The 26603-nt window shown below is 54.8% G+C and overlaps 1 protein-coding gene across 47 annotated transcripts in view, besides 11 other annotated features; it reads right to left on the bottom strand.

The window, feature by feature from the left end:
- Positions 1-26603, bottom strand: part of GATAD2A (GATA zinc finger domain containing 2A) — a 123090-nt gene that overhangs the window by 4463 nt on the left and 92024 nt on the right. For 29 of the 47 annotated variants that reach the window (NM_001384514.1, NM_001384512.1, NM_001384523.1 and 26 more), the window contains 9 exons: positions 12032-12164; positions 11758-11889; positions 10087-10176; positions 8585-8716; positions 8251-8418; positions 5748-6027; positions 3054-3352; positions 2427-2501; positions 1944-2139 (listed from right to left, as the gene is read on the bottom strand). In NM_001384514.1, the coding sequence (NP_001371443.1) occupies positions 1944-2139; positions 2427-2501; positions 3054-3352; positions 5748-6027; positions 8251-8418; positions 8585-8716; positions 10087-10176; positions 11758-11889; positions 12032-12164 (1505 nt within the window). Of the gene's footprint in view, positions 1-1943; positions 2140-2426; positions 2502-3053; positions 3353-4191; positions 4345-5747; positions 6028-8250; positions 8419-8584; positions 8717-10086; positions 10339-11757; positions 11890-12031; positions 12165-26603 lie in introns of all 47 variants that reach the window. The other 18 variants (NM_001384531.1, XM_047439000.1, NM_001384529.1 and 15 more) reach the window with 7 other exon arrangements.
- Positions 11660-12859: an enhancer, noted in NCBI's record as "CDK7 strongly-dependent group 2 enhancer chr19:19602420-19603619 (GRCh37/hg19 assembly coordinates)". NCBI's record gives its function as "activates an origin of replication core promoter dependent on BRD2, BRD4, P300/CBP, MED14 and CDK7 cofactors, with strong dependence on CDK7, by STARR-seq in HCT116 cells {active_cell/tissue: HCT116}" and the evidence as "EXISTENCE:reporter gene assay evidence [ECO:0000049][PMID:35650434]".
- Positions 13776-14070: an enhancer, noted in NCBI's record as "identical tiled regions #10818 and #8147; HepG2 Activating DNase matched - State 8:EnhW". NCBI's record gives its function as "activates a minimal TATA promoter and a strong SV40 promoter by Sharpr-MPRA in HepG2 cells {active_cell/tissue: HepG2}" and the evidence as "EXISTENCE:reporter gene assay evidence [ECO:0000049][PMID:27701403]".
- Positions 13776-14169: a biological region, named in NCBI's record as "Sharpr-MPRA regulatory region 10818/8147".
- Positions 13920-14169: an enhancer, noted in NCBI's record as "active region_14359". NCBI's record gives its function as "activates an Ori minimal core promoter by ATAC-STARR-seq in GM12878 lymphoblastoid cells {active_cell/tissue: GM12878}" and the evidence as "EXISTENCE:reporter gene assay evidence [ECO:0000049][PMID:35858748]".
- Positions 14445-15644: an enhancer, noted in NCBI's record as "BRD4-independent group 4 enhancer chr19:19599635-19600834 (GRCh37/hg19 assembly coordinates)". NCBI's record gives its function as "activates an origin of replication core promoter dependent on BRD2, P300/CBP, MED14 and CDK7 cofactors, and independent of BRD4, by STARR-seq in HCT116 cells {active_cell/tissue: HCT116}" and the evidence as "EXISTENCE:reporter gene assay evidence [ECO:0000049][PMID:35650434]".
- Positions 14445-16294: a biological region, named in NCBI's record as "BRD4-independent group 4 enhancer GRCh37_chr19:19599635-19600834".
- Positions 14727-15510: an enhancer, noted in NCBI's record as "OCT4-NANOG-H3K27ac-H3K4me1 hESC enhancer chr19:19599769-19600552 (GRCh37/hg19 assembly coordinates)". NCBI's record gives its function as "activates a minimal SCP1, AML or CMV promoter by ChIP-STARR-seq in primed H9 embryonic stem cells {active_cell/tissue: H9 hESC(primed)}" and the evidence as "EXISTENCE:reporter gene assay evidence [ECO:0000049][PMID:30033119]".
- Positions 14928-15207: an enhancer, noted in NCBI's record as "active region_14358". NCBI's record gives its function as "activates an Ori minimal core promoter by ATAC-STARR-seq in GM12878 lymphoblastoid cells {active_cell/tissue: GM12878}" and the evidence as "EXISTENCE:reporter gene assay evidence [ECO:0000049][PMID:35858748]".
- Positions 15511-16294: an enhancer, noted in NCBI's record as "H3K27ac-H3K4me1 hESC enhancer chr19:19598985-19599768 (GRCh37/hg19 assembly coordinates)". NCBI's record gives its function as "activates a minimal SCP1, AML or CMV promoter by ChIP-STARR-seq in primed H9 embryonic stem cells {active_cell/tissue: H9 hESC(primed)}" and the evidence as "EXISTENCE:reporter gene assay evidence [ECO:0000049][PMID:30033119]".
- Positions 19432-20216: an enhancer, noted in NCBI's record as "H3K27ac-H3K4me1 hESC enhancer chr19:19595063-19595847 (GRCh37/hg19 assembly coordinates)". NCBI's record gives its function as "activates a minimal SCP1, AML or CMV promoter by ChIP-STARR-seq in primed H9 embryonic stem cells {active_cell/tissue: H9 hESC(primed)}" and the evidence as "EXISTENCE:reporter gene assay evidence [ECO:0000049][PMID:30033119]".
- Positions 21323-21930: an enhancer, noted in NCBI's record as "H3K4me1 hESC enhancer chr19:19593349-19593956 (GRCh37/hg19 assembly coordinates)". NCBI's record gives its function as "activates a minimal SCP1, AML or CMV promoter by ChIP-STARR-seq in naive H9 embryonic stem cells {active_cell/tissue: H9 hESC(naive)}" and the evidence as "EXISTENCE:reporter gene assay evidence [ECO:0000049][PMID:30033119]".

The following is a 26603-nucleotide window of genomic DNA, read 5'->3' as shown; positions in this document are numbered from 1 at the left end:
CACACAAAGTAGCCAACGCAAGACACACATTTCCACAAAGGACCCTCAAGTGAAGGGGAGACACTGGGGAAAACCCTTAAATGTAATATTTGTTCACCTGGGGGAGGAAAATACAAGCCATTGCCACAGTCTTTTCTCTCTGTATTTTCCAAATTTCCATGATGGACAAATATCATTTTTATAATTGGAAAATAAATAAATGCCCCCACCCAGCACACGCAGAATTTTTGGCCAGAGTTGGAGGTAAGGGCTGCCCCAGACCCCTTGAGATGGGGTCTCACTCTTGCCAAGGCTGGAGTGCAGTGGCACAATCAGTGCTCACTGCAGCCTCAACCTCCCATGCTCAAGCGATCCTCCTCCCTCAGCCTCCTGGCTGAGTAGCTGGGACCACAGACACATGCCATGTGCTTGGCTAATTATTTTTTTGTAGACACAAGGTCTCACCATGTTGCCCAGGCTGGTCTCAAACTCCTAGGCTCAAGCAATCCTCCCATCTCGGCCTCACAAAGTGCTGGGATTACAGGTGAGAGCCAGCATGTCTGGCCCTAAGAGTATTTTTAGTGGTGGCTAATACATTTTGTGGAAAAAGCGTTCCCAGGTCAAATGTTCTTAGGAACCAACCCTGTGTGCAAGGGCAGCACTCCAGAAACCTGGCAACTGGGTCCTGCCAGGCGCTCTCTCAAAACCCCCGTGGTAACTCTTTTAGGAAATGGTGCTTTCAACTATTTATTTTCCCTCTAATCCTACCATCAGACACACAACTAGTGATGCCTTCATGCTCCCTTTCAAACTTTAAACACACACACACACACACACACACACACAGCTTCCAGATGACTTCCACCACCGTGCCCACATGCACACACTTATCGACTTCTACTTCTTTCTTATCCTTTCAAACTTCCCACAAGAGTAATTTCTGACCAGCCCGTGAGTCCTCAGCTGTCTTAAACCTGCTGAGCAGAACGTCTGGCTGGCTGGTTTGATGACAAACACACTCAACTGTCCAGGCTGCCTGGATTCCTCTGCAGCCGAACGTCTGCTGTTTCCTGAAGTGCCCCTGCAGAGCCTGGCACCTGGGCACGCCCCTCACTTAGGACAGCGGCAGGCTCAGCAGGCTCTCAGGCTCCCCCCACCACTCTGCCTGGGGCCTGTCTCATGATTGTCCTCTCCTACCTGCAGGGCCACAGGCTTCAGGGTGCATGTGGGACACTTTGCTTCCTCTCCCAGAGGGTGCCCATCTCCTTAACTTGGCCCTTCCTGACCACCTTTTCTTTCCCTATTTTTGACACAAGAAATATAACACTTTTGTTCTAATGTTAACACATACATGAAAAAATAAACAGGCCATCGGGACCATGCCAGGGACGGTGGGGCCGCACCTGACTCCGGAGAGCCCACTGGAGGACCTTCACCCCCACTGGTTGTTCTTCAAACACCGTCTCCGGCAAGGCCTCCACTACCTGCCCCGGGTGAGCCAGCCGCTGCCCTGGGCACACCCCCTGCCCCGCATTACTGTTCTACTTTGCACCACTCAGTGTGACCGCAGCATGGATGGCACAATGACAGAAAAAAGATGTTTGCTGCGGCACAAAGAGAAAAGGGGGACCCTGAGTGGGCAAGATAGGGGTGTGTGCTGACAAGAGTCCACATGGATGGCTGTGGGGGCACCCTCTGAGCCAGGCCTGGCCCATGTTTTGTCGGTCAAAGACTGAGCCTGGGTGCAGAGAGTGAGGGTGGTTACTATTTCCTATCTGCTCGGGGCTGTCACTTCTTCAGGGTATCCTGGTTAGGGGCAAGAGGGAAAGCCAGAGTCCGAGGAGGCTGAGCTTGGGAAGCGGGCCTGGGGGTTCACCCGCTGCACATGTGCCTCTGTTTCGGTTAAGGAAGGGTGAACCCCACAATGGGCAGGTCCCCTGGGGAGCCCTGTGGAGGTCACCCACCTGTGCTGAGGGGCGTCTTCTTCCAGTTGGAGGTGGCGCTGCCCTTGCCGGCGCTCACGGTTCTCTCAGAATGTCTGCCGGTCCTGCTGACCAGGGCTGTGGCCGAGGCTGAGTTCTGCAGTTTGGGTGACGGACTGAACGTGTGCAGGACACCTCGGGGCGTCGTGGCCGAACCCCGGGACAGCTGGCTGGAGGCCTGCAGTGGAGAAAGGGGGGTGACGGCTCATGCAGGGAAAAGACAGCAGCAGGCGAGACACTCAGCGCAGCCTCTCCTTGCTCTGGCTGACCTCTTCCCACCCACATGGGGTCCCTAAAGTCCAAAATCAGGAGACCAGGTAAGTTACACAGAGGGGTGGGGGAGGGGAGAGAGTGAAACAGAAACAGGGAGAGACAGACAGAAGAGGCAGCGTGACAGTCGGCGACTGACGTGGTCACGGGCTGCGGTGGGGGCGCGAGGCTCCCGGCGCCCAGTGCGGTTCTGACCTGTAGCACAGCCCCGTTACTCCAGTCGCGGGCCTCTCCTGAGCGGAACGCCAACTTACGCCGGGGTTTTATGACCTACACAAACGGGGGTTGAAAGCAAAGTCAGTGCGGTCCGCTGGCCGGCCCAGGGTGACCGAGGGTGAGCCCCACAGGACAGGCCCGTCCCCTGGGGACTTTAGGCGCCAAGTGGGGATCTTGAGAAAATGCGTTTAGTGAATTGCAAAGAACTTCCAAGAAAACAAAAATTGCCAAAAGGGAGCTTCGAGTCTACAAGAGGGTGGGAAGGAGAAGCATTAAAATAAAACAACACGAGAACAAAAAACTTGATTTCAAACTTGTTCCTCTCCAAATTTAGCAAGAACATTTTTCCAAACGCCCCTTTGGTATCTCAACGTGGCTTTCAGAAAAGACCTTGAAGACAAGCAGTACTTGTCAGCCGGCAGCCTGCAAGTGAGAGCTACAAAGTCTAAAGAAACTGCAAATTAGTGTTTTTGCCGCCCAACACCACCATTAACTGCAATTTAGACGTGCAGTTAACAATCAGGCGGTGCAGCGCAGGCGTGGGGTGGATCGCGGAACGGCCTCTGCCTCCTAGGGACGGCACTGCCGGCAGCAGGCCAGGCTCACCTGCTTCAGCACGGGGTGTGGGGCAGCGGTGGGCTCGGCCTTGGCCTGTGCAGGGGCCGTGCCCTGCTGCAGGAGCCGCTGCTCAATCTCCTGTTCCTGCTGCAGCGCCTTCACAAAGGCGGCCTTCAGCCGGCTGGTGTGCTCCACCTTGAGCGCCTTCTTCTGGTTGGTTGTCATGCAGTTCTCACACATGATGGCGCCGCTCTTCTCCTCCCGCCAGCGGCACGTGAAGTCCGTCTTGCACTGTGCACACATGTAGGGCTCCCGGGACAGCACAGTGGCGGCCGACATCCTGCCTGCTGCAAGCAGACAGCACATGGCTCACGTCAGAGGGCCAGGACGACAGTCAGGGCCCTGGCCGCCCCCAGCCCAGGATGCTGGAGTCTCAGTCGCCACAGTCTGTCCGTTCTGCAAATGCCTACTGGGCACCAATGACATGTGGACATGGGGCCGGCCAACGCCGAACAGCTTCAGAAAACGTCGGCCTCCTGTCCCACCCATCGCTGGACATGACACCACTGAGGACCAGCAGGGACCATGCCAAGCCCTGCCTCAGTGTGGTGGGCACCCTTGCTTGTGTACGAGTTAATAAGGGTGACAGGCAAGTCACCCAGCAAGTGCTTTGTGGGTGCTGAGGTACTCAGTTCATTCTTAGGACGGGGAACCCCCAAATGCGCCATGTCCTGATGAGGAAACTGAGGCCAAGAGAGACCAAGTGACCTGTAGATCACATTGTCACTCAGTGGCAGGGCAGGACTCACACCCGGGATAGGCCCCAGGCCTTGGGCTGCACCCACTGCACAAGGTGGGCAGCAGGCTACAGGGGCAGCAAGGGCTTGGTCCCCTTGTCTGGGGGACAGAATGCATAGTCTCCTTGGGGGCTGCAAGAGGTAGCTGGGGAAGTGTACATGAAGCATGTGCTCGGGCGTGAGGTCTGGGCGTATTTGTGCCGACCTTTTTTGTGTTCAGCACTTAGGGGCCTTAATTGCTCTTGGTCATCACAGACAATGTCAGAGGACTGCAGGGGCTGGGGGGTGGGGAGATGGATGTGGCGAGACTCTCGGCCTTCCCTCTCCTGCCTGGACTGGCCTGGCCCCTTCTAAGCCCCTGACCCATGAGACCGCCACCTGCAGCTTACATGCTCTGGTGACAACGGCACATCTCCTTGCACACGTCCAACCCATGGCCAGCGTGAGCGGCGCCAGAACCAGACATGGTGCGAGGCTGGGGGCTCTGGGAGGTGTCAGGAGATGCCTCCAGCAGGGCTCAAAGTCTCTCCCACAGTGAGGTCCTATCCTTGGCAACAGGAGAGGGAGACTGAGCCCTGATGAGGGAACGGCAGAGACAGACTGGTCTGGGAGAGCGGATGCCCGCACAGGCAGGGGCAAGGAGAGGCACTGGTCCCAACTCGGCCCCCAATCCTCATTTCCTACAGCAGCCCCAGGTGGCTCTTTTGCCGACATCACCTTGTCGAAAAGGAGGCACCAAAGGCACCAGCCGGGCTGTGTCAGAGCCTCACCTCCCCATAGCTCCCCCAGGTCCCTCCTGCAGCTGGGAGCTGGAGGCCATGCCCTTGGGGCACGCTGCAGTTAGTCTCGGTACCATCCTGTGGCCGGGAGTTACGAGAGCGACTGAGGGGCAAGGGAGTGGGTTACAAGCAACTCTACATTTGAGGGCCACTCTGAGGCTGCGCCAGGCCCAGCCCCACGCAAGTGTGGAGAGCTCTGCCTCTTGGGGACCCTGGGTGCAACCACATGGGGGCACCAGTTGATGCACCAAAGTACCCTAAGAGAGTGGGGAGAGCATCTTCCCAACCCCAGGTGCTGGGGGCACAGCTCGACCTGGCCCCCATGCCCTCCTCCCTCTGTATCCTGGGCAGTGCGCGGGAGGTGCTTCTCTGCACACACCCACCCCGCTGCTCCCAAGTCTGTGCTGGGAAGGCTCTGAGGCTGCCAGGCCCTGCCCCTGCCCTGGGCCCCTCACAGTCCTGCCGACTCCTCTGCTCTGAGAGTCTGATGCAGTCACCAGGAGAGGACTCAGCCTCCTGGCCTACTCGTGTCACCCCAACCTCAACCTGTGGGCAGAAACGTCCTTGGTCTCCATGTCTGGGGAGCAGGGGCTCCCTGGGGGCCAACTCGGCCACTCAGATCCACCCGCCCAGCCGTCTCCAATGCTGTGATCACCCCGTAGATGTCTTTTTATTCCTAAATCCCCCAGGACACAGTGCACTCCCACGCTGCCTGAAGAGGGTGATCATGCGAGCCTGCCCCTGGGCAGTGGGGTGGGCTGTCCCTCTCCCTCCTCAGAAGCTGGGAGCACTTGAGGCTCTGGAAGGTTCTGCCTGTGTGTCACAACTCCACATTGGCCTGAGAGCCCTTCGTGGAGGCCAACCCTGTCAGCCTCCCACAGATGTGCACCCTCACGTCTACCCCACCACACGCCAACGTCACGGAGGCCACTACTGCCCGTCCCCCTGGACCCTGAGCCTCTCGGGGCCTGGCTCTCAGAGGCCCCAACCGGAGGACAGTGTCCAGACTCCACAGTGGCACTGACGGTGTCCCTGCCAAGCCCACCCAGGACCATCCTGGCTAGGCAGCCCTGCCCCAGCCTCTGCTGTGTGTTGGAAAGAACCCACGGGGCAGCACCCTTGGAGGCCAGAGGCGGAAGCAGCCCGGCTGGGTCCAGGCCACTCACCTTGTGTCTCCAGTAGGTTCTGCACCACCTCCTCCAGGCCGACCAGGTAGATGAACTCGTTGTTGGCGGCGCTGGGCAGGAAGTTCATCTCTGGGGCTGGGGGCTTGGGTGGGGGGATCTCGAGTAGCGTCTTCTCCAGCTGTTTGCGCAGCGCCAGCTTGGCGGCCGCCTGTCGGCTTGCTGGAGACTCGGCAGAGGTGACCACAGAGGCCACACTAGTGGGGGTGGAGTTGGCCTGAGCGGAGGTGGCTGTTGTCCCCTTCAGTGATGCTGGGGTGGGCTTTGGGAGACAAAAACTCAGTCAGGGCGCTCCGTGCGCCTGCCCAGAGGAAGGCTCCCCAGCGCCCCGAAGCCCGAGGTCCTGTCAACTGCACTAACCAGTACCCTTGACGATGGCGTCCTTAACAAAAGTGAACCCAGCCATGATAACAGGCTCTCAGAAGCCAGGGCAGCAGGGAGAGGCGCGAGAAACACACCACCCTAGGTAGTGGCTGCTCATCTGCACATGTGCACCGAGGTTTACCAGATAAACCGCACACACTTAAAATCTATAGTTTGCTGTGCTCCGCCATGTGAATGTGAGGGCACCCATGTGGCTGTCACCAGGTTCTGGTGGTCACCACACTGCCCAGCAGGGCCACTGTCCTCTGGCTGTGGCCTGGCCTACTGCCTTCTCACAGGGTAAGAGGGTGCTCACCGCAGCACCCCCATGAGCCTCTCTGCATGTGCTCCCCTGGGATGCTAATGTTTGAGGTAGTCCCCGAGTCCTTATGGGGCGATGGGGGAAGCAGCTCCTAGGCCAACCTCTTCCCCTTGCCCTCCACCCAGTCCTCACCGCTCCAGTGCCACCTCACAGTCCTGCCTGGATCCCAGGAGCAGACCCTTGACTGTCTCCACCAGCCCCACAACTGCTGGATAGGGCTCTCCCTGAAACCCAGAACTGCCCACATGCCAATGTTATTGCTTTTAGGGGCTGAGGACCCCTCTGGAAATATGATGAAAGCTGTGCACCCCACCCCCAGAAAATGGACACACCCAATGACTTGCAAATGCCACACTGTGGGGCACAGGGTGTGCAGGATGCCTTCCCAGGGTCCCACCCCCCAAGAAAGGTTCCCAGAGACCGGCCTGCTGGTTTGTTGTCCCCTCAGCAACCAAGACCAAACCCAGGCCTCCCTCACCTCTGACCAGCCAGTTCCCCTCCTCCTTCCCCTCAGAGCCTCCCCCAGCCACGCTAGGAGCAGACCACCTTCTCTGCCACTGACTGCCTGTGCCCACCCTCAGGAAACAAAGACAAGAGAAAGGACTGGATAAAAGTTCACGGGTGGGCAGGATGTGGTGGCTCACGCCTGTAATCCCAGCACTTTGGGAGGCCAAGTCGGGCGGATCACTTAAGGTCAGGAGTTCAGGGCCAGCCTGGCCAACATGGTGTAACACTGTCTTGACTAAAAATACAATAACTAGCTGGGCATGGTGGCAGGCGCCTGTAGTCCCAGCTACTTGGGAGGCTGACGCAGGAGTATCTCCTGGGAGATGGAGGTTGCAGTGAGCCAAGATCATGCCACTGCACTCCAGCCTGGGTAACAGAGGGAGACTCTTGTCTCATAATAAAATAAAGATATTTGATCACACCACTGTACTCCATCCAGCCTGGGCAACAGAGCAAGACTGTCTCCAAAAAAGAAAAAAAGTCAACAGGTGTATGAAACTACCTGCCTGGGTCAGTCCAGGACTAGCCATCTTCTCTGCACTCGAACCTGACCTTCGAAAGCAGGCAGGGACACTGCCCAGAGCCTTGCTCTTGTCTGAGGAGGGTGGGCAAGAACAAACTGTGCCAAAGAGGGAAGAAAGAGCGAACACGCCCACCAACAAAAGCCCCTGCAGACCTGGTAATTTTATCTGTCAGCCAAGGCGCCTGTTTCCAGCCCACCCGCCCCTTGGTTCTGCTCTTCCCATCCTACTTCCAGTGGGTGGGGACAGACCCTCCCCATCTGAGAGGCTCTGTACAGAGGTGAAGGGACGTGCGGCTAAGAATAGGCGCACCTGGTGACATGAGAACATTTGCTGAGGAGGCAATCGGAAGAAGCCACTGCCGGGAGGGCGGCATGGGCTCCGGTGCCCCCCAAGGCATCTCCGGGCCCATCACCGGCCTCTCCTGGGCCTCGACTATCCCCCTAAACCTGCTGTGTGCCACATGCTGTTTCCTCAGCCATGGGGCTGGTAAGCAGACCCCACCTTCAGCTCAGGTCCGTGCATCGCCCCTCTCGTCAGCTGCCCACCTGTGCTGGATAGCAAGTCTGCCCACAAAACTTCTGCCCACGACCCAGACAGCCCTGTGGCCCCCAGGAGCTCAAGTCCAAGCCCCTGCCTGGCTCTGAAAGAGCAAGGCAGGTCATGCCACACAGCCCAGGGAAACACTACTGTGCCCCAGAACCTGGGTCCAAGGGGAGCAGTCACAGGTGGGACACACACTCTCCCTGGCACAGTGTGGCGCAGCCCTCACCTGTGGGATGTTGACGAGCAGGCTGGTGTTGGGAACATTGGCGACGCGGATGAGGCCCTGCTGGATGATCCTCTGTCCCTGAATCTGCACACTGGGCACCGACGCCCGGGGGGCCAGGAGGAGGGGCGGTGGCCCTGTGCTGGAATGTTGCCTAATGCTGTGGATTTGCTGTTGGGGTAGGGTGGGGAGAACAAGAAATCTGACTGAGATCAACAATGGAGCGGGACCGGAAGGCACAGGGCACCTTGCCCCCAAGGACTGGGAAGGGCCCTACTTTCAAGGTAGACGACTGCTGAGGCTGCCAGGTCTCCCCCATGTGCACAGCCCTGCTTACCTGAGCCCCCCTGACGAGTGGGGGCATGACGACCTGTGAGCTCGCCTGTGGCCCCAGCTTCGAGGACGCCTGCTGCCCACCTCGGACCAGGGGCGGGGGTATGACACTGCCGGGCATCCGAGCTGAAGAGGTCTGCCAACGATACCAAGACCCAGATTTACATGGACCGGACCCCCCCACACTTTTTTTAAAGCAAGCAGTTTTGCTGCTTTTATGAAAGTACATACTAGTTTTTTTTTTTTTTTTTTTTTAAGTAGCAGAGAAGTTAAAGAAAATTATGGATGGGCACAGTGGCACATGCCTGTAATCCCAGCACTTTGTGAGGCCGAGGTAGGCAGATCATGAGGTCAGAAGTTTGAGACCAGCCTGGCCAACGTGGTGAAACCCCATCTCTACTAAAAATACAAAAATTAGCCAGGCGTGGTGGCACGTGCCTGTAGTCCCAGCTACTCAGAAGGCTGAGGCAGGAGAATTGCTTGAACCTGGGAGGCGGAGGTTGCAGTGACCCAAGATCGCGCCACTGCACTCCAGCCTGGGCGACAGAGCAAGACTCCATCTCAAAAAGAAAAAAAGAAAAAAAGAAAAAAAAGCTGGCTGGGTGTGGTGGCTCACGCCTGTAATTCCAACACATTGGGAGGCCAAGGCGGGTGGATATCTTGAGCCCAGGGGTTTGAGAACAGCCTGGGTAACAGTGAAACCTCATCTCTACAAAAAATGGAAAAATTACCCAGGCATGGTGGTGTGTGCCTGTAATCCTGGCTACTTGGGAGGCTGAGGCAGGAGGATGGCTTAAGCCTAGAAGGCAGAGGCTACAGTCAGCTGAGATCGTGCCACTGCACTCCAGCCTGGGTAACAGAGCAAGACCCTGTCTCAAACAAACTAACAAGGCAAACGTATAACACAAAATTAAGAAAGATGACTACTGATTCTAGATACTGGAACAAGGAATAGTGACTCCACCCAGAGCCGTGCAAACCTGGGCTCACTCCTGAGTGAGTCCCACCAACGTGGCAGTTCATTCTCACGTGACACTGGCCGGCCCACGGCAGGATGGGCATGGTCACCCCCTAGAGCAAGCTGAGGGCTCAGGCCTGTTTGAGAGGGAGGGGCAGGAGGGCCTCTTCTGACCTCAGCCATATGGCTGGGAGAAAACCTCTGCCCCTCACCTGGAGGCCCTGGAAGGAGGCTCTCTGGCCGGAAGAGTCAACACGAAGGGAGATCAGGCTTGCTAGGGGCGCTCACTGGAAAGCCCCCTTCCAGTGTTGGCCATGATTTCTGTCTGTGACATTAACAGTGGCCTACTTTGGGCCGTGGGGCTTGGAAAGTGCACGTGTGCTTCTTCCCCTAGGCTGTGGGCTGGAGGGCCTCACTCCAGCCTACTCAGAAGGAAAGCGCAACCTCTTGCAGAACCTGGGCCAGGGCTGTTTGGGAGCCCGAGGAGCCTGTGCTTGACAGCAGCAGTGCCAGCAGGGCACCCAGTGAGACGCAGAAAGGACACTGACCTGGAGTGATGGCTTGCCAGCAGGAATGTTCTGAGTGCCCCGAACAAGCGGGGGAGGGGTGGTCACGGTGCTCCCAACAGAACCTGTGGGCTGCAAGAGAGCAGGACACCAGGAGGTGAGGGGCCACCGGGCCGGTCCCTCTCCTCACACGGAGTTGCCAAGATTTAATGCTGCCGAAGAGGACTGACTGTCTTCCTCCTCTACGGCATCAGGCGCTCAGAGGTTCTGCTTGAAGGCTGAAAGTGACCCCATCTGCAGTGGGAAGTGACAATTTCTACATGGGCCTAGAAGAGATTTTCCAGCAGCCCCACCCCCTACTCTCAGCATCACTTCTTGGCTGCTCCCTGACACCCACGCAGTATCCTGGCACCCGCTGTGCCCTCTAGGGGACAGAATGGCTGATGGTGGCAGCACTGCTGAGGCAAAGGACCCATGGCCCAGACAGGGAGATCTCAATCTCAGTGAGAAAACGGTGACTCTGGGCACTTTTTAAAGCTGCATGTTCCAGTAGAGAAGGGCCAGTGACAGACTTGGTGTCCCTCCATGAGTTTTCGACAAGTGACAAAGAAATAGAAAAAAGAAACCAGCAGGCTCTTTCCAATCCACTTGCTAACTAGGTAGGTGTAAGGTGGGGGGCGGGGAGGGGGCGCGGGGGCAGTGGGGGCAGGGTTTCAAAAAACAAACCCCAAGCCAGAGCAGAGAGAGTCCTGTCCTTCCTTCAGCTCCTGCTGCCCAGAACACACTTACTTTCTGGGTCACTGAGGCAATGACTAAAGTACTTGGAAGGTCGGAGTTTCCCAGAACAGAGCACTCAAAAAGCCTAACAAAATAAACTTAACCTCGCTGCCCATTAAGCTGCATCTAGAAGCAGCGCAACAGCGAGCTTCGGGCTCCAGGGAAGAAGAAACAGAAGCAGGACCCTCCCGACAGTTGGGGCTGAGATCCACGGGAGCTCAGCACACTTGCAGCTGGGAGGGGACTGAGACGCACACAGCAGGAGGGATGATGGTAGAGACTGGGGCATCCCCTGCGCCCACAGTGCAGGCGGCCTTTCTGCACAGAGTGCTTCACCCAGAAACATGCTTCCAGCGGCACCAGACATCTGTGCTCCACTTCCTTGACACCTGTTGTCTAAGTGAGCTTTAGGGCGGGCACAGTGGCTCACGCCTGTAATCCCAGCACTTTGGGAGGCCCGTGTGGGCGGATCACGAGGTCAAGAGATCCAGACCATCCTGGCCAATGTGGTGAAACCCCGTCTCCACTAAAAACACAAAAATTAGCTGGGTGTGGTGGCACGCGCCTGTAGTCCCAGCTACTCGGGAGGCTGAGGCGGGAGAATCACCTGAACCCAGGAGGCAGAGGTTGCAGTGAGCCAAGGTTGCGTCAATGCACTCCAGCCTGGCGACAGAGTGAGATTCCATCTCAAAAAAAAAAAAAAAAAAGTGAGCTTTAGACCCTCAGAACCAGAATACTCTAGACTGAAATTCACTTTAACATCTTGTAAGCTGAATCCAAAATGCACACTGGAGTCCACAAATGCGGGAGTGGGACCTTGCCCTATACTCCCTCAAGGAAGCCCTTTCACCTTTCTGGCCGCTGACATTGATGAGGGGATCAAGGCAAGGCCAGGCGCTCCTGCTGGCCCAGGAAGGAGGGGAGACAGGCACGCACCTTCTGGGCGGTGGCTTCCTTTTGTATTTGACTCTGCCGCAACTTTTTCAACAACACGAGTTTTGCTTCTTCTAACCTCAATTCTTCCTTCAGCTGCTTGATCATCCTTTCTCGTTCTTCAGGACTGCTTTTCTGCAGGGGCGAGAGGAACAGGGTTGAGAGGGAGCGTCCTTGGTGAGGAGCAGAGGCCCTGCCATCACTAGCTCCACCTGAGGGTGTCATGAGTAGGAAGGGCACAGTGGGGCTCCGGCGGCAGCGCCAACACGTGGCTCACCATGAGGGCCTCGGTGCTAGTCTCCTTCAAGGCCACCGTGGTCAGCCCATTCACTCTCGGGCTCGAGGGCTGCTCGTTGTCGGAGAGCACAATCACGTCAGGTGAGGGGGGTCTCCTCTCGGACTTCATGTCACTGTGGGGTGGAGACAGTAGTGACCAGAGCGCCCTTGACAGCTGGACCCAGTGCCCACCCCTGTGGACACATGGCAGGGAGCTGAGACCTCCCCGTCTGTTCCCTGTCTGCCCTGCATCCTCCACATCCCCTGCCCTGCCCCATGGCTCCCAGGCTGCCTCCTTCTTCTTACCCACACGTCATAGGGCACCCAATCCCAGTGCCCAGGTGGGCACCCTGATGGTAGGGACTTCATGCCTGCCGCCATGTCGCCAGGGCTGAGGGTGCGTATGCCCCTGAGCATGACATGGTGACTTTGGAAAACATGGCTGCTCCCTCTACCGTGTGCCTCGGATCAGGTAAACACTCGGCTCGGGATCCTGGGGCCCTGCTCAGTGTTAGCCATTGTGGGGGCTTGAGCATGCTGGGTCTGATGGCATGTGTGTGCCTCGCCACCAGCCCGCAGCCCCTGGCCATGGTGGAAACCCCTTGAAGGGGAGCCCAGCTCCCTGCGTGAACCAGATTTTCTTCTCTCCACTCAGGCAGGCCAAAGCCCTCACACCTGGCAGCCAACCTGTCCCCAGAAGACCGAGGGGTGTATCCACAGGCTGCCAGCTTGCTCACAAGGTGGCACCAGGTGCTAGATGGCCCTTCTTGGGCCCCACATGGCGGCAGTGGCTGTCTGTTTTGAAACTGACTAGGACACAAGTTCTCTCAAAGACCAGAGACTCTTCACCTGCCTGATCTACTCATGGACTGGTTTCTGGCTGGCTGCCTCCAGCCCCACGTGGATGCCAAGGTCATTCTGCCTGTTACCCTGCTGCCCACTCCGTAAGTCCCAGCTCAAAACTGCAACATGAGACAGTTCTCATGATTCCAGCCCCCACACCTTTTTCTTTCTAATGAATTTGCCACGGTCTGGGGAGCTCACTTCCACCTGTGAACTTGACCTAAGGCCTGTTCCTCCCCTTTTCACCGTCGGCCCACGGCATCTCACTACCAGTTGGGAAGCACCAGGGGACAATCGGGGAAGTACTTGCAGGCTTTCCTCTTTTGTTATTTTGTCAAAGTATGGTCACAAACGTCTAAGAGTGTGGCTGATGAGCTGCTGTTATTCATCAGAACTGGGAAACAGTGAATATCCATTCTGTGCTAACTGCAGGCCAGGCTCCGAGACAAGTGCTCAAGGCACCCCAAGTCATTTGACCCAGGCAGGAACACACTAGTCTGATTTTCCCTTTCCTGTGAACGATCCTCTAGGATGTATGTGTACAGCTGACACTACTGAAGGCGCAAGGCTGAACACCTGCTGTGGTGTCGCTGACCCAACGCAAGTCCCAAAGATGGCACTTTGTCCCCAACCAAGCAGCTCCATTTGCTGACGGCACAAGGCAAACTGTCCCTGATGATCTGGGTTCATTGTATTCTCTTTCTTCTTTTTTGAGATGGAGTCTTGCTCTGTCGCCCAGGCTGGAGTGCCGTAGTGCAATCTCGGCTCACTGCAACCTCCACCTCCCCGGTTCAGGTGATTCTCCTGCCTCAGCCTCCTGAGTAGCTGGATTACAGGCATGCACCATCATGCCGGGCTAATTTTTTTTTTGTATTTTTGTACAGACAGGGTTTCACCATGCTGGCCAGGGTGGTCTTGAACTCCTGACCTCAGATGATCCGCCCGCCTCGGCCTCATTGTACATTCATCGAAGTGAATCAAGTCCATTTTTTTTGTCAGCAGGAAAACCAGCCAAGGACAGACACGTCCTCTAGGTGGCACTGTGACCCAGAGAACAAACTCGGACAAAGTTAACTGGTTGCCGCAGCTCAAAGTTGTCCTGGCTCTTGCTGTGCCAGGGTCTAGTTGATAATTAGACCCCGGCAGGGTTGAGGAGAGTCGCTAGGATGAAGAACCTGACTCTGCTCTAGCAGCCCTCGGGACCTCTGAGGTCCCCTCCACACCCATGAGCTGCGTCCTCAGGGAAGGGTAGACACAGAGCACCAGAGGTTAAGGCTTCACCAATGCTACCCTGGACTCGCCAGATGCTGGACTCAGGAACCGCTTTACTTGCTCTCCTCTGGTCCCTCCTAATTCCACCCACCACAGCTACGTGGTGGCTGTACCTGAACGCTGGTCCTAGCCCTGATGAAGCAGCTTCTCACCAGAGACCTGGGCGTGGACAGAAAGGTACGATTTCGAAGTATACAATCCCCCAGGCAAGGGGTTATCAGCCCACATTCTGAAGCCCAGAACCGGGTAGTTTGTTTCTAAAGTAACCCAGGACACCTCACTCAGGTCTTAGCAAACCGCCAGCATGTCTCTCCTTGCTGCCGGCCCCATGCCGCCCAAGATCGACTTTCAAGGTGACCTCAGGGCTCTAATTCCAGGTTCCCTGGACGTGTACACACACTGAGCACCTCAGAGGCAGGCAGTCCCAAGGCTTCAGCACAGAGGTGCAGCAGCTGGCCTCCACCCAGGTGGCCTCCAAAGTGAACAGGGGAGCAGGGGGCCAAGGCAGCATCTTGTATAGAGTTACAGACACAATTCCTGGGCTAGCATGAGCTGAAATGAAATGACAGCCAAGCTCTAAGGGACTTAACCCTTCTTATCATCTTATTGAGGGCGTGTGCTTCTTCCAGAGGTGAGATGTCTAATAAAATTCAAACCTGCCTGAAGGAAGAGGGTAGGCGAGGGGTCCAGACCACCTAGCAGCTGAAGCTGCCTGAGAGGGCTGCTCTGCCCACAGCGCTCCCTGGCCCCATCTTGGCCTGCGACTAATCAATAACTCATCCAAGAGATGATGTCACCACCCATCAATGATCACTCAGCATCCCAGCAGCCAGCAGGGAGTGAACTTCCTGTATGCTAATCAGGCCACCAAAAAGTCATGTGACAAAGGCATTTCCCTCCTTGGTCACATGACCCTTTAACTGTGCCTTCCAACGTGAAAACCATGGCAACGGCCAGTTCCAACCGGTTTGTGACACGCAGCCTTCATTTTGAGAAGGGAGGTAAAGGTTCAGGTACTGTCAGAAAATGGAGGCGCCAGGCTCACCCCAGGGCTGTGGAGCTGCAGGCACTTCCTGTGTGGCGCCAGCCCACAGGGGACTGTTGCTGCACCACAGGCTCCAGTCACCTCTACATACACCGCACACAGCAGGGTCACTGGCCCCTCTAAGTTTCTAAAATGAAAAACTTTGTTAAGCTCACTTTTTAAAGGAGAGAGGCTTTAAGAGTCTCAGTACTTTCTAAAAGAGATCTTTAATTCAGGAAAAAGAGCATGTGGCTCAAAATGATTGCAGGCATTATTTCAGGGAAATATTTAATTATAAAAACTGTCTAAAGTAAACAAAACCAGTGGAAATCTAGCCCAACATGCTGAGAGGGATGGCATCGTGGCCCAGGGACAGCGTCTGCCATTCACTCCACAGCAGCCGTCCCGGGCACCAAGTTTATTTGGAAGTGATGTGATAGTTCAGGACAAATCCCATAAGCCCGTCCTGCCCATCTTGAGAAGCCTTAATGTAAAACGTAGTGATCAAGAGATTTTATGTGACCTACAAAAATCCCTGGAAGCAGGCCAGGCTGTTATCAGCGTAAATGGTCTCACCCGCTCGCTGACACGCACCACCCCCACTCCCTGACCCGCTGGCACTGGCCCTGACCTCACAAGCACAGAAATTCTGTTACCTGCCAGGAACTTCCATAGAATTTCCTGGAGGAGAGGCCGGGATTATAAACTTAAATTGAGACACGATCCCACTTCCACAGCAAAAGGTTATGGCTTTCAGCTGCTCAGCAACCAGCGGCCAGTACGTGGTTAATATTTAGTGTCCCCTCAGCCAGTGCCGGGAAGGAGCTGTCCTTGGAGGCTGGGACCTTTGTGGTTCTCTGAACAGGCCTGCCTGGTATGCAGGAAAGACATACCCCTCTCCCTCATTCATTCATTCATTCATTCCTTACATCTGCTGAGAGCTCATTTAAAAAGCAGGTGCTATAGCAGGCAGTGGGGAGGAACCCCTGGATAAAAGGAATTTCTGTCCTTAGGGTTCAGTCTACCAGGATGGACAGACACAACAGGGGAGCGGCAGGTGGGGGCAAGGCTGTAGGTGGGCTTGGGGCTGGCCCCGTGAATGTCTGACCACCGCTGTCACCGCCATAGCAGCAGGGCAGCTTCTCCGGAACTTGTATAAATGAAGCGTGTCCTCCTTGCCCCAGACCTGCTTGATCAAAGTCTGTATTTCAGCAAGATCCCCCAAGTCTTGCACACACTAGGGAAGTTAGGGATGACCATGACCTGTAGCTCGTGAGGCCTCGGTACAAGAAATCCTCCTCCAGGCTGGCTTGGGGAGACAGGCAGGGCCCAGCAATGCCTTCTCCAGCCACAGAACCATTTCCCACTAGAACCTTTCCTCCTCACCTCTTTCAGGCCTAGCAGGGTGGGCTGCTGGCTGTGTGCAAGGGTGGGATGAGGGCTCTGCTAGAGCCAACACCAGCCCTGCCAGCTCACTTGTCCCTTGTGCAAACACTCATCTTGGGCTCACCAGGCCCTACCTGACATGAACCAAGCTGTTAACATCCCCCGCCCTCCTGGGGCCTGGCCCACAGACATGGCCCAGCATGGCCATGTTCTGCCTGCAGAACATCCCTCTTCAACATGCCTCAGGAAGCCTGCCCGGCCCTGTCCCCTTGCCTCGGGGTGAAGGTCATGGCAGAACTCGGGGTTCCACTCGGGGGAGTGCAGGTCTGAGCAGAAACCCCCCAGAGCTTCCCAAGAAGGGCTGGCTGGTGGGTCTGTGTTCCTTAGCCACCCCCAGCCCAGTGACTGGCCCACCCACCCTCGGCCCAGCAAGCCCATCTAAGTGCCTTTGGCTCCCTGCACGGCACCCCACCCCACCCCCCTATGAAGATGAGCCCTCCCTCCCCCTGCCTTGCAGGGTGACATGTCAGCACCTGTCTGACAAGCAGGTTCCTGCACCCTGAGCTGGGGGCCATCACGACCTCCTTCAGGTGGGTGTGGCACCGGCACAGCACCCAGGGACCTATGGCCCCACTCTGTGGCACAGCCTCAGCTCCCAACAAGGGACAAGGTGTTCCCAGGACCAGATGAACAAAGGGCAAGGGGGTATCCAGCCCTGGGGTGATACCACAGCCCCAGAGAAGGGGGCAAGCCCCCATGTCCTCAGAGCCAGGAATCTCCTCCTAAGTCTATGATGGCTGGGGATGGGGGAGAGGCTGGCTGAGCCTGTCATGTGAGGGTGCTGAGCCCTGAGCCCGCATGCTCCTGTGGAGTAGCTCCTTTAGCAAGCTGAGGCCTGGAGCTCACTGGCCACCCTTGCCCAGCCTTGGACTTCAAACGACTGCCGGCAAGTCAGGCTGTGGAGAGAGCCCTCACCCAGTGAGCTAGAAGACACCTGGGTCTCACTTGATTCTGCCTCTTGCAAGTGACACTTCCCTCTCCATGGCTCCTGCATGGCAGGGCAGAGGAATCCCTGTCCCGCAGCCTCTCAGGGCTGCCTGGTGAGGTGAGACTTCAGTGCTGAGGAGGCTCGGGCACCTTAGACAGCCGGCTGGCTGCAGGGGGATCAGGCAGCCCTGCTGATCTGAAAGTGCTCAGCTCAGGCCTCGGGAACAGTGACCTTCCTGAGAGCACTCATAGCCACCCTGCATGCCCCTAGAATGGAGAGAGAGGTTTGCCCCGACAGCCTGCGTCCCCTGCACCAGGTCCCATTCCCACCTCGGAGAAGGAAATGGAGTTGTTTGCCGGGAGCTGCCCCAAGGCTGTCATTTGGTGGGGCGGGAGCATCCTGCTGTCAGATCACATGCTGCCTCTTCAGAGCCAGCCGCCCACATCCAGCAGCCCCCAAAACCCAGATGGCAGCAGCACCACGGCCTCCAGAGGCAAGATGGATGCTCTGACAGGATGCAACCTTGAAGGGGATAGGAGCATGCAGGAGTGATTTTCTTTTGGATTGTCGGGCCTTAGAAGACAGTACTTCCTGGGGTCCCCAACACTGGGAAGATAAGGGCAGCAAACAGGCCGCCCGTGCCTTCGCCTTGCAGCTCCCAGATGGAAGCAATGGCAAACCTGAAACATCTGCCTGACCTGACAGCTTTCTGAGGAAAGAGTGGGAGCCCATTACAGAGCAGACAATCTCAGTAAACAGGTCCTGAAATGTGACACCTGAACATTCACAAACCCCCCAAGGGCAGACTGGGTCTGCTGGGGGCCTGGCAAGGCTGGGGAGCGCCCACTTCCTCCTCTTGCCTTGATGGAGGTTCCAGGGTTGGGGCTGTGAGTTCAGGAGGAACCAGCGCCACGGACTGATGGACCCCCTTGCACGGTGGGCAGCTGCTTCCCTCGTGCACATAGATGTTGTGCTGCTGGAGGAAAGGGAAACTCACTCACAAGGATTTCTGAATTGTGTGTCATCGTGCGTCTTTGTAAAGCAACAGACCCTGGAAGCCAAATTCCTATTTTTTGAGTCCAAGCGCTTTTGTGGATATGAAGAAGGAGCCCTAATACTCATGGCTGACAAACCCTGTACACCAGACCAAACTCTGCAAGGCCCCCGGCCCATCTCTGCAGTCCTGAGGAGGCCGGAGGCTCTGGCTGCATCTACTCATAGCCCCCGTAGTACTTGACCTGGGCTGGTTTTATGGCTCAATTCCCAAACTACAGAATGCAGAGGAAGTGACGTGGCAGCCTTTTCAGGTGAGGTCACAGAAGCCTTGCAGCTTCTGCCTGAGCCCTCGGAATGCTTGCTCTAGGAGAGCTGAGGTCTGACTGCCCCAAACCACCACGGGATCAGAGGCCCACACTAGCCCCCGCTATAGTGGGGGAGATGGAGACAGGCACAGAGACTGGTCCAGCCAGTCCCAGCTGTTTTGGCCATCACATGTGAGTGATGAAACCACTGGGGACACCCAGCCCAGCTGACATGCAACTGCAAAGACCAGAGGGCCCCAGCAACAGTGCCCAGCTGGGCGGGACCAGCCAACCAGCAGAACTGACAGACTGAAAAACGTCAATACCTCGCTGCTTTAAACCACTAAGCTAATGGAGCCAATGGCCCAGGCTGGCCCCTGGGGAGCTAACCCATATCACTGTAACTCCACTTCCTCCCTCAGATGCTACCCTGGGACAAAGCAGGGAAAGAGAAGGGGGAAAGAAAGGGTTTACCCAAGTAACTACCCACTGAGCCTTAAAGCACCCCCTGACAGAGGGACCAACAGCAGCCTGCACAGAGGCCCCCCAGACAGGTGCAGACTCAAGATGAGAACAGCTCTAGGAAGGTCATGTGGGAGACCAGAGCTGCCCAACAATGAAAGGGGCTGAAGAGGGTCCCATGGAAAAGGAGGAGGCAGTCTGCAGGCTGGGAGGCACCCCAGCTTCAGGCAGCACCTGGAGTGAAGTGAGTCAAGCCAGAAAGCAATTCCTCATGCTTCATCCAGTCTCTCTACCTGCCTTCAAGAAACACTCCTAGAAAAATCCTATGACAGGCTGGGCGCGGTGGCTCACGCCTGTAATCCCAGCACTTTGGGAGGCCGAGGTGGGCGGATCACGAGGTCACGAGATAGAGACCATCCTGGCTAACACAGTGAAACCTCGTCTCTACTAAAAATACAAAAAATTAGCCAGGCGAGGTGGCGGGCGCCTGTAGTCCCAGCTACTCGGGAGGCTGAGGCAGGAGAATGGCATGAACCCCGGGGGGCAGAGCCTGCAGGGAGCCGAGATCGTGCCACTGCGCACTCCAGCCTGGGCGACAGCCAGACTCCGTCTCAAAAAAAAAAAAAAAAAAGAAAAAAAAAAAAAGAAAAAGAAAAATCCTGTGACAGAGAAAAAGGACACAGTTATCAGTTCCCCAAGTTAGTCCTACCACTGAGCAACTTCTTTTTTTAGAGACAGGGTCTCACTCTTGTCAGGCTGGAGTGCAATGGTGTGATCATAGTTCAATGTAGCCTGGAACTCCTGGGCTCCAGTGATCCTCCCATCTTAGCCTCCCAAGCTGCTGGGACCACAGGGAAACACTACCACACCTGGCTAATTTTTTTCAATTTTCAATTTTTGATATTGAGACAGGGTCTCTCACTCTGTTGCCTACGCTGGAGCACAGTGGCACGATCATGGCTCACTGCATTTTTAAAGTTTTTGTACAGGTGGGGTCTCGCTGTGTTGCCCAGGCCAGTCCGGGCAATATCTTGTGTGTCAGGCCCCTGTGTAGTGGGTGTGCTGACATACAATTCTGGCAGCATTCACTGCAACCTGGACGTGGGGGCTGCTCACTGGGACCCCACGCAGTCCTCCCTCCTTTCCCAAGGGGTGGTGTTCACTCAGAGACACTCAGCTGATAGAAAGAGAGCTCTGTTGTCTAGACACAGGCTGTGCCCCAAAACTGAGGAACTAGGCCGGGTGTGGTGGCTAACACCTGTAATTCCAGCACTTTGGGAGGCCGAGGCGGGCGGATCACGAGGTCAAGAGATCGAGACCATCCTGGCTAACATGGTGAAACCCCATCTCTACTAAAAATACAAAAAAAAAAAAAAAAAAAATTAGCCGGGTATGGTGGCGGGCACCTGTAGTCCCAGCTACTCGGGAGGCTGAGGCAGCAGAATGGCGTGAACCCGGGAGGTGGAGTTTGCAGTGAGCCGAGATTGTGCCACTGCACTCCATGCTGGATGACAGACCGAGACTCAGTCTCCAAAAAAAAAACACTGAAGAACTCCTGGGGGTTGTCTGGTGTCCTCCCGAGTCACCCCGCTCCCCATGCCCTGAGGCCCACCTGCTTCTCGCCAGCCGCAGCCCCTCTGCGGTTCCCTCAACTCCCTTCTTAGCATCCATCACACTTCTCCCGCCATGTAACTTGAGCTCCTCTTGGCTGGGATGTGAGAGAAAAGCCCAGAGCCTGCTTTGTGGGGCCCAGGAAGACAGAACACATTCTGCTTCTCTGCCTCAGAGGCCGTGGAGGTGAGCAGCTGGGATGGGATTTTTGAAACTCAGCCATCATTCTTCCTGGAGACTTCAGGTCCAACGACCGCTCTGGGAATCCATTATGGTGAGCACTGCCACAGTGCTGGCTAAAGAGCTCAGGAAAAAGAGAGAGAGTCTGTGTGGCTGGCCCAGACCTCTGAGCCCATCCCTGCCTGCTCTCCTTTCCCCAGTACAGAAGGGAGCAGTCCCAGGTCCCCAGCTAGAGCAGAGGAGCCCCATGCAGTGCCCGCCCCCAGCATCAGCACAGCCAGGGGGCGGCCAGCCGGCGCTGCCAGAACGCCTTCTAGGAACGCAACAGCCCCTGAAGTCAAAGGGCCCAGCCAGGGAGGCCCAGAGGACCTCACTGTGACAGGGGCCAGTCTCGGGGGCGTGCAGAATAGCTTGGCTGAGGGTAGTAGAGACAAGCCTAGGAGACCTTAGTACCATGCTCATGTGGGCCAGCAGCCTCTACCCGCCCACAGAGGCCACTGCAGCCCAATCTTGTCAGCAGCTGACACCATGGGGGAGGCCACATCAAATCCAGCACGTTCTGCTTAGAAATACAGGAAGACACATGCATTAGAAATGACTACAATCGAAGAAATGAAAGGCTAACTTTTCAGGTTTCAAAAACCCAGTAAACACCTGCTGAGCCTTTATGATGGCCATTCCTAGGCCAACCACCAAAATTCACCCTTCCACATAATCCTCTCCACAGCTCCATCATTACCCCCAGTTCCCAGTACAGGGAACAATCTTAAGGGAGGGCCACATGACTTCCTAAGGTCACACACCAGGACCTGCAGACAACCTGGGCTCCTACAGCACCTGAGCTCCTGTGTGGACCCCTCACTGTGCCAGGACCCTGGGGGAACCCTAAAGAGGAGGTGTGGGGTTAGAGAGGATAGGCCCCATGTGACTGGCAGCTGCTAATTCAGGTCATCAAATATCTTTATTTGGAGACAAGCGTCTCCCTCTATTGCCCAGGATGGAGTGCAGTGGCGCGATCTTGGCTCACTGCAAACTCTGCCTCCCAGGTTCAAGTGATTCTCCGGCCTCAGTCTCTCCAGTAACTGGGACTACAGGCGCCCACTACCACACCTGGCTAATTTTTGTATTTTTAGTAGAGACAGGGTTTCACCACGTTGGTCAGGCTGGTCTCAAACTCCTGGGCTCAAGTGATCTGCCCACCTCGGCCTCCCAAAGTGCTGAGATACAGGCATGAGCCACCGCGCTCGGTCATATTTTATTTTTTTTGAGACAGGGTCTCATTCTGTAAACCAGGCTGGAGTGCAATGGTACAATCACAGCTCACTACAGCCTCGACTTCCTGGGCTCAAGCGATCCTCCCACCTCAGCCTCCTGAGTAGCTGGGACTACAGGCACGAGCCACCACACCCAGCGAATTAATTTGTTATTTATTGGTAGATATGGGAACTACTATGTATTGCCCAGGCTTGGTCTTGAACTTCTTGGGATCAGGTGATCCTTCCACCTCAGCCTCCCAAAGTGCTGTAACAGGCGTGAGCCACTGAGCCCCACTATGTCATTTTTGGAATAGTGAACCTTTATTTATGGCTGAAGGATCCTGGACAGCCAGTAGCATCCACAAGCTAAGTCCCTGAGGTGTGAAGGAGGAGGCAGTGTGAGGACACAGATGTGGCCCTCGGACTCTATCAAGAAATGATAACTTACCCAAATCACAAGACAAGTCAGGGGATGGTCAGAAACAAAATATGGCCAGGTGCGATGGTTCATGCCTGCAATCCCAGCGCTTTGGGAGGCTGAGGTGAGAGGATGACCTGAGCTTTGGAGTTCAAGACCAGCCTGGGCAACACAGTGAGACCCTGTCTCTAAAAAAATTAAAAAGCTGGGCATGGTGGCAAGCACCTGTAGTCCCAGCTACTCAAGAGACTGAGGCAGAAGGATCACTTGAGCCCAGGAGCTGGAGGCTACAGTGAGCTATGACTGTACCACTGCATTCCAGTTTGGGAGACAGAGCAAGACCCTGTCTTTTAAAAAAGGAAAGAAACAAACCTCAGAGGTGGTGGACACTCACACTGCAAGTGGGCCAAAGCCTGCTGGAAGGGGTAGGATGGTTGTGGAGCTCAGGAATCCAGGCTCCTGAGGGCCTGGTGTGGGGAGAGTAAAGGACAAAGAGGAGGAGAAACCCTGGCCACTGATCGCAGCACCCCTCCTGATGCTGGTCCCTACACCCATGCTAGGCCCACTTTCCTCCAGGGAGAAAACATGGTGAGAACTCCTCAAGCAGGGTGGAGGAAGGACTCCCTACAGCAAATGAACTGAAGGCATCTCCTGGGAGAGATGCCAGCTTCCTCGCCAATACACAGGGAGAGAGAAGTCACCTGTGTGCATGAAAGCCACAAACATGAAACACACACTGCTTCTGAAACGACCACAAACTTTCTCAATGAATGGAAAGTGCTCGCTGTGCCTGGAAACCTCCTGCCCCTCTTTTAAACATCTGCATCACAAGTGGCTGGATCCCCATCACTTGCACCTGTCCCCCTAGCCAGCTAGGTACACCCACAACCCAATCAGACCTGCTCCAGTTGCTCAGTGCAGAATGGCCACAAGTGACCCACGAGGACCACTGAGGGGGCTGGGTGCACCTCTGCAGGTGTTGGGGCGACTGGCCCATTCACCAAACCTCAATGAGGCCAAGTTTCTTCATCTGCAGAAGGGGACGCCACTCACCTCGGGGGGCAGTCATGAAATGCGATTAAACGTCAACCTCTGAGTAGTGTCTCTGTGGTATCCCATGACAAAGTACGACAGGAAGAAGCCCTCCTGCTGCATACTGCAGTGGAATGGCGCCATGAAGAGAAACGCTCGCGTGAGCATTCATGCAAAGCCTGGTGCTTCATGAAAAACACCCAAGGGTATCTGGTACCAGTGATAAAGTACGAGCTTCCATTAATCAAAAATCAGAATTTTGGAAAACTTATATTTGCTACTTGCTGTGAGCTCAACAACTTCCCAACGGATAGGTGGTGACATTGACAAATCTGATTTTGTGACACTAAATGATGATATGTGTATCTGAAACGTCTCTATAACCCAGTAAACTACTATTTTCCAACATTCAATGGTATTACAAACTCATACGTGAGTAAAATGTCATTCAGGGGAAGAAAAGATAAAACTGTCAGGCAGAAGAATCCCAAATAATTTATGCAGACAATTCACCTTTGAAGAGGTGAGCATGAGTCCCCATTCCTCAAGAGTAGGCTGTGTCGCCAGGCACGGTGGCTCACACCTGGAATCCTAGCACTTTGGGAGCCGAGGCGGGTGGATCACAGGAGGCCAGAAGTTTGAGACCAGCCTAGCCAACTTGGTGAACAACCCCTTCTCTAAAGTGCCTGTAATCCCAGCTACTCACAAGGCTAAGGCAGGAGAATCACTAGAACCTGGGAGGCAGAGGTTGCAGTGAGCCGAGATCATGCCATTGCACTCCAGCCTAGGTAACGCAGTGAGACTCCATCTCAAAAAAAAAAAAAAAAAAAAAAAAGAGTGGGCCACACATAGTAACTTCCTTCCAAAGAGGACAGTATGGAAATGGTGGAGCAGGGGAAGGAGGGAAGGGTAACTTTACAGTAGAAAAACCTGACAAATGGCACCTCACCAAAACGATCGTTCATTCAAGACCAGCAGTACCTTTGATATGATGTGACGAGAAGAGCACTTCACCCTCTGTGGTCTTCCTCCCCCAAATCCATCACCTGCCTGTGAGAAAAGCATCTGACAAATCCCAATGCACTGACATTCTACAGAACACTTGACCTCTGCTCCTCAAAACTGACAAGGTAACCCAAAACAAAGAAAGTACGAGAAACTGTCATAGTCCAAGGAATCTAGGGAGACGCAAGGATTAAATATAACGTAAGGGAAAAAGGACAGCTGGAAAAAACTGAGGAAATCAGAATAAAGTATGAACTCGGTTAAAATAATACATGGACCCTGGCTCACTACTTGTGACACATGTTCTGTAGTCTGTTAACAATGTGGAGACTGGGATGAGGTTTGCAGGACTGATCTTTGCAACTTTTCTGTGAGTCTAAGACTATTCTAAAATTAAAAGTTAGTTTTAAAAACAGATTTTTCTGTTCAAAGTGTAAAAGAGTCCCACGGATTTTAATGTAACCCATGTACAAAAAGCTCAATGATGAGGTTTCAGAGTCTAAGGGCCAACTCACCAGTAGAGACTAGCCACTCTGGATTTTGGTTTCTCATTAGAGGAGGAAACGCACAATGATCCAAAAAGCCTATGGAAACGCTCCTCCACTCTCCAACCTCTTCTCCATGCTAGTTACATTTTCTTCACCATGCTTCAAACCCTCACAAAGAACGCAAGAGGATGGACACAGAAATAGCCACGGGAACCTAGCAGCTGCCTTCTTAGTAAGCTGAGTATTAAAGAGATTTGCAAAATAGATTTTTAATAATAAGTTATTTATGCTAATATGTCACAGGTCTACTATAGTCATCTTTAAATGAATTAATAATAGGTTTTTTTTTGTTTTTTTTTTTTGAGACAAGGTCTCAACTCAGGTTGTCCAGCCTGGAGTACAGTGGTGCCATCTCAACTGACTGCAGCCTCTGCCTCCCAGGCCCAGGTGATTCTCCTACCTTAGCTTCCCGAATAGCTGGGACTACAAGTGTGCGCCACCACTCTGCAATTTTTTTGGATTTTTAGTAGAGACACTTTTGCTATGTTGCCCAGGCTGAAATTTTTTTTCTTTTTTTTTTGAGACAGAGTCTCACTCTGTCGCCGAGGCTGGAGTGCAGTGGTGCGATCTCGGCTCACTGCAACCTCTGTCTCCTGGGTTCAAGTGGTGCTTGTGCCTCAGATTCCCAAGTAGCTGGGCTTACAGAAGTGCGCCACCACACCCAGCTACTTTTTTTGTAGCAACGGGGATTTGCCATGTTGCTCAGGCTGGTCTCGAACTCCTGGCCTCATGTGATCTGCCCACCTCGGCCTCCCAAAGTGCTGGGATTACAGGCGTAAGCCACTGCGCCTGGCCAGTATTTTCAAATTTTCTAACACAGTAAATGTCAACAGACATATCCCACAAATCCAACTGCTGTCTGGGGCCCACAGATGGAAAAGGGGAGGTGCCAGTGCTTCAGGAAAAGGATTTCCCATCTCTGGCAGCCTCGACAGTAGTACAGAGGCTGGGATCCTGGGTCCTGTCCTGCTGATGTATCATGGCCCATGTAACTTTCTTTTTGCTGCCAAAGTTGTATTTTGAAAAGTGAGAGGTACTAAAAATTTAATAGGATTCACCCCAAAGATACACTATAATTGCTTATAAAACCTATTTAATCATCAGCCAACAAAATTTGGTCACCTTAAGGTTCTTACAGCCTTATGTGGCAACTGTACAGCCTCTATGTTTACCTAAGTCACAGAAAGCGGGCGACGCCCTATGGCTGTGGATCAAACACAGGAACATGGCTGGCCAGGTCACCCAGG

Source organism: Homo sapiens, chromosome 19 (assembly GCF_000001405.40).
Source record: "Homo sapiens chromosome 19, GRCh38.p14 Primary Assembly".
Taxonomy (NCBI): domain Eukaryota; kingdom Metazoa; phylum Chordata; class Mammalia; order Primates; family Hominidae; genus Homo; species Homo sapiens.
This window is presented reverse-complemented; position numbering and strand designations above follow the sequence as displayed.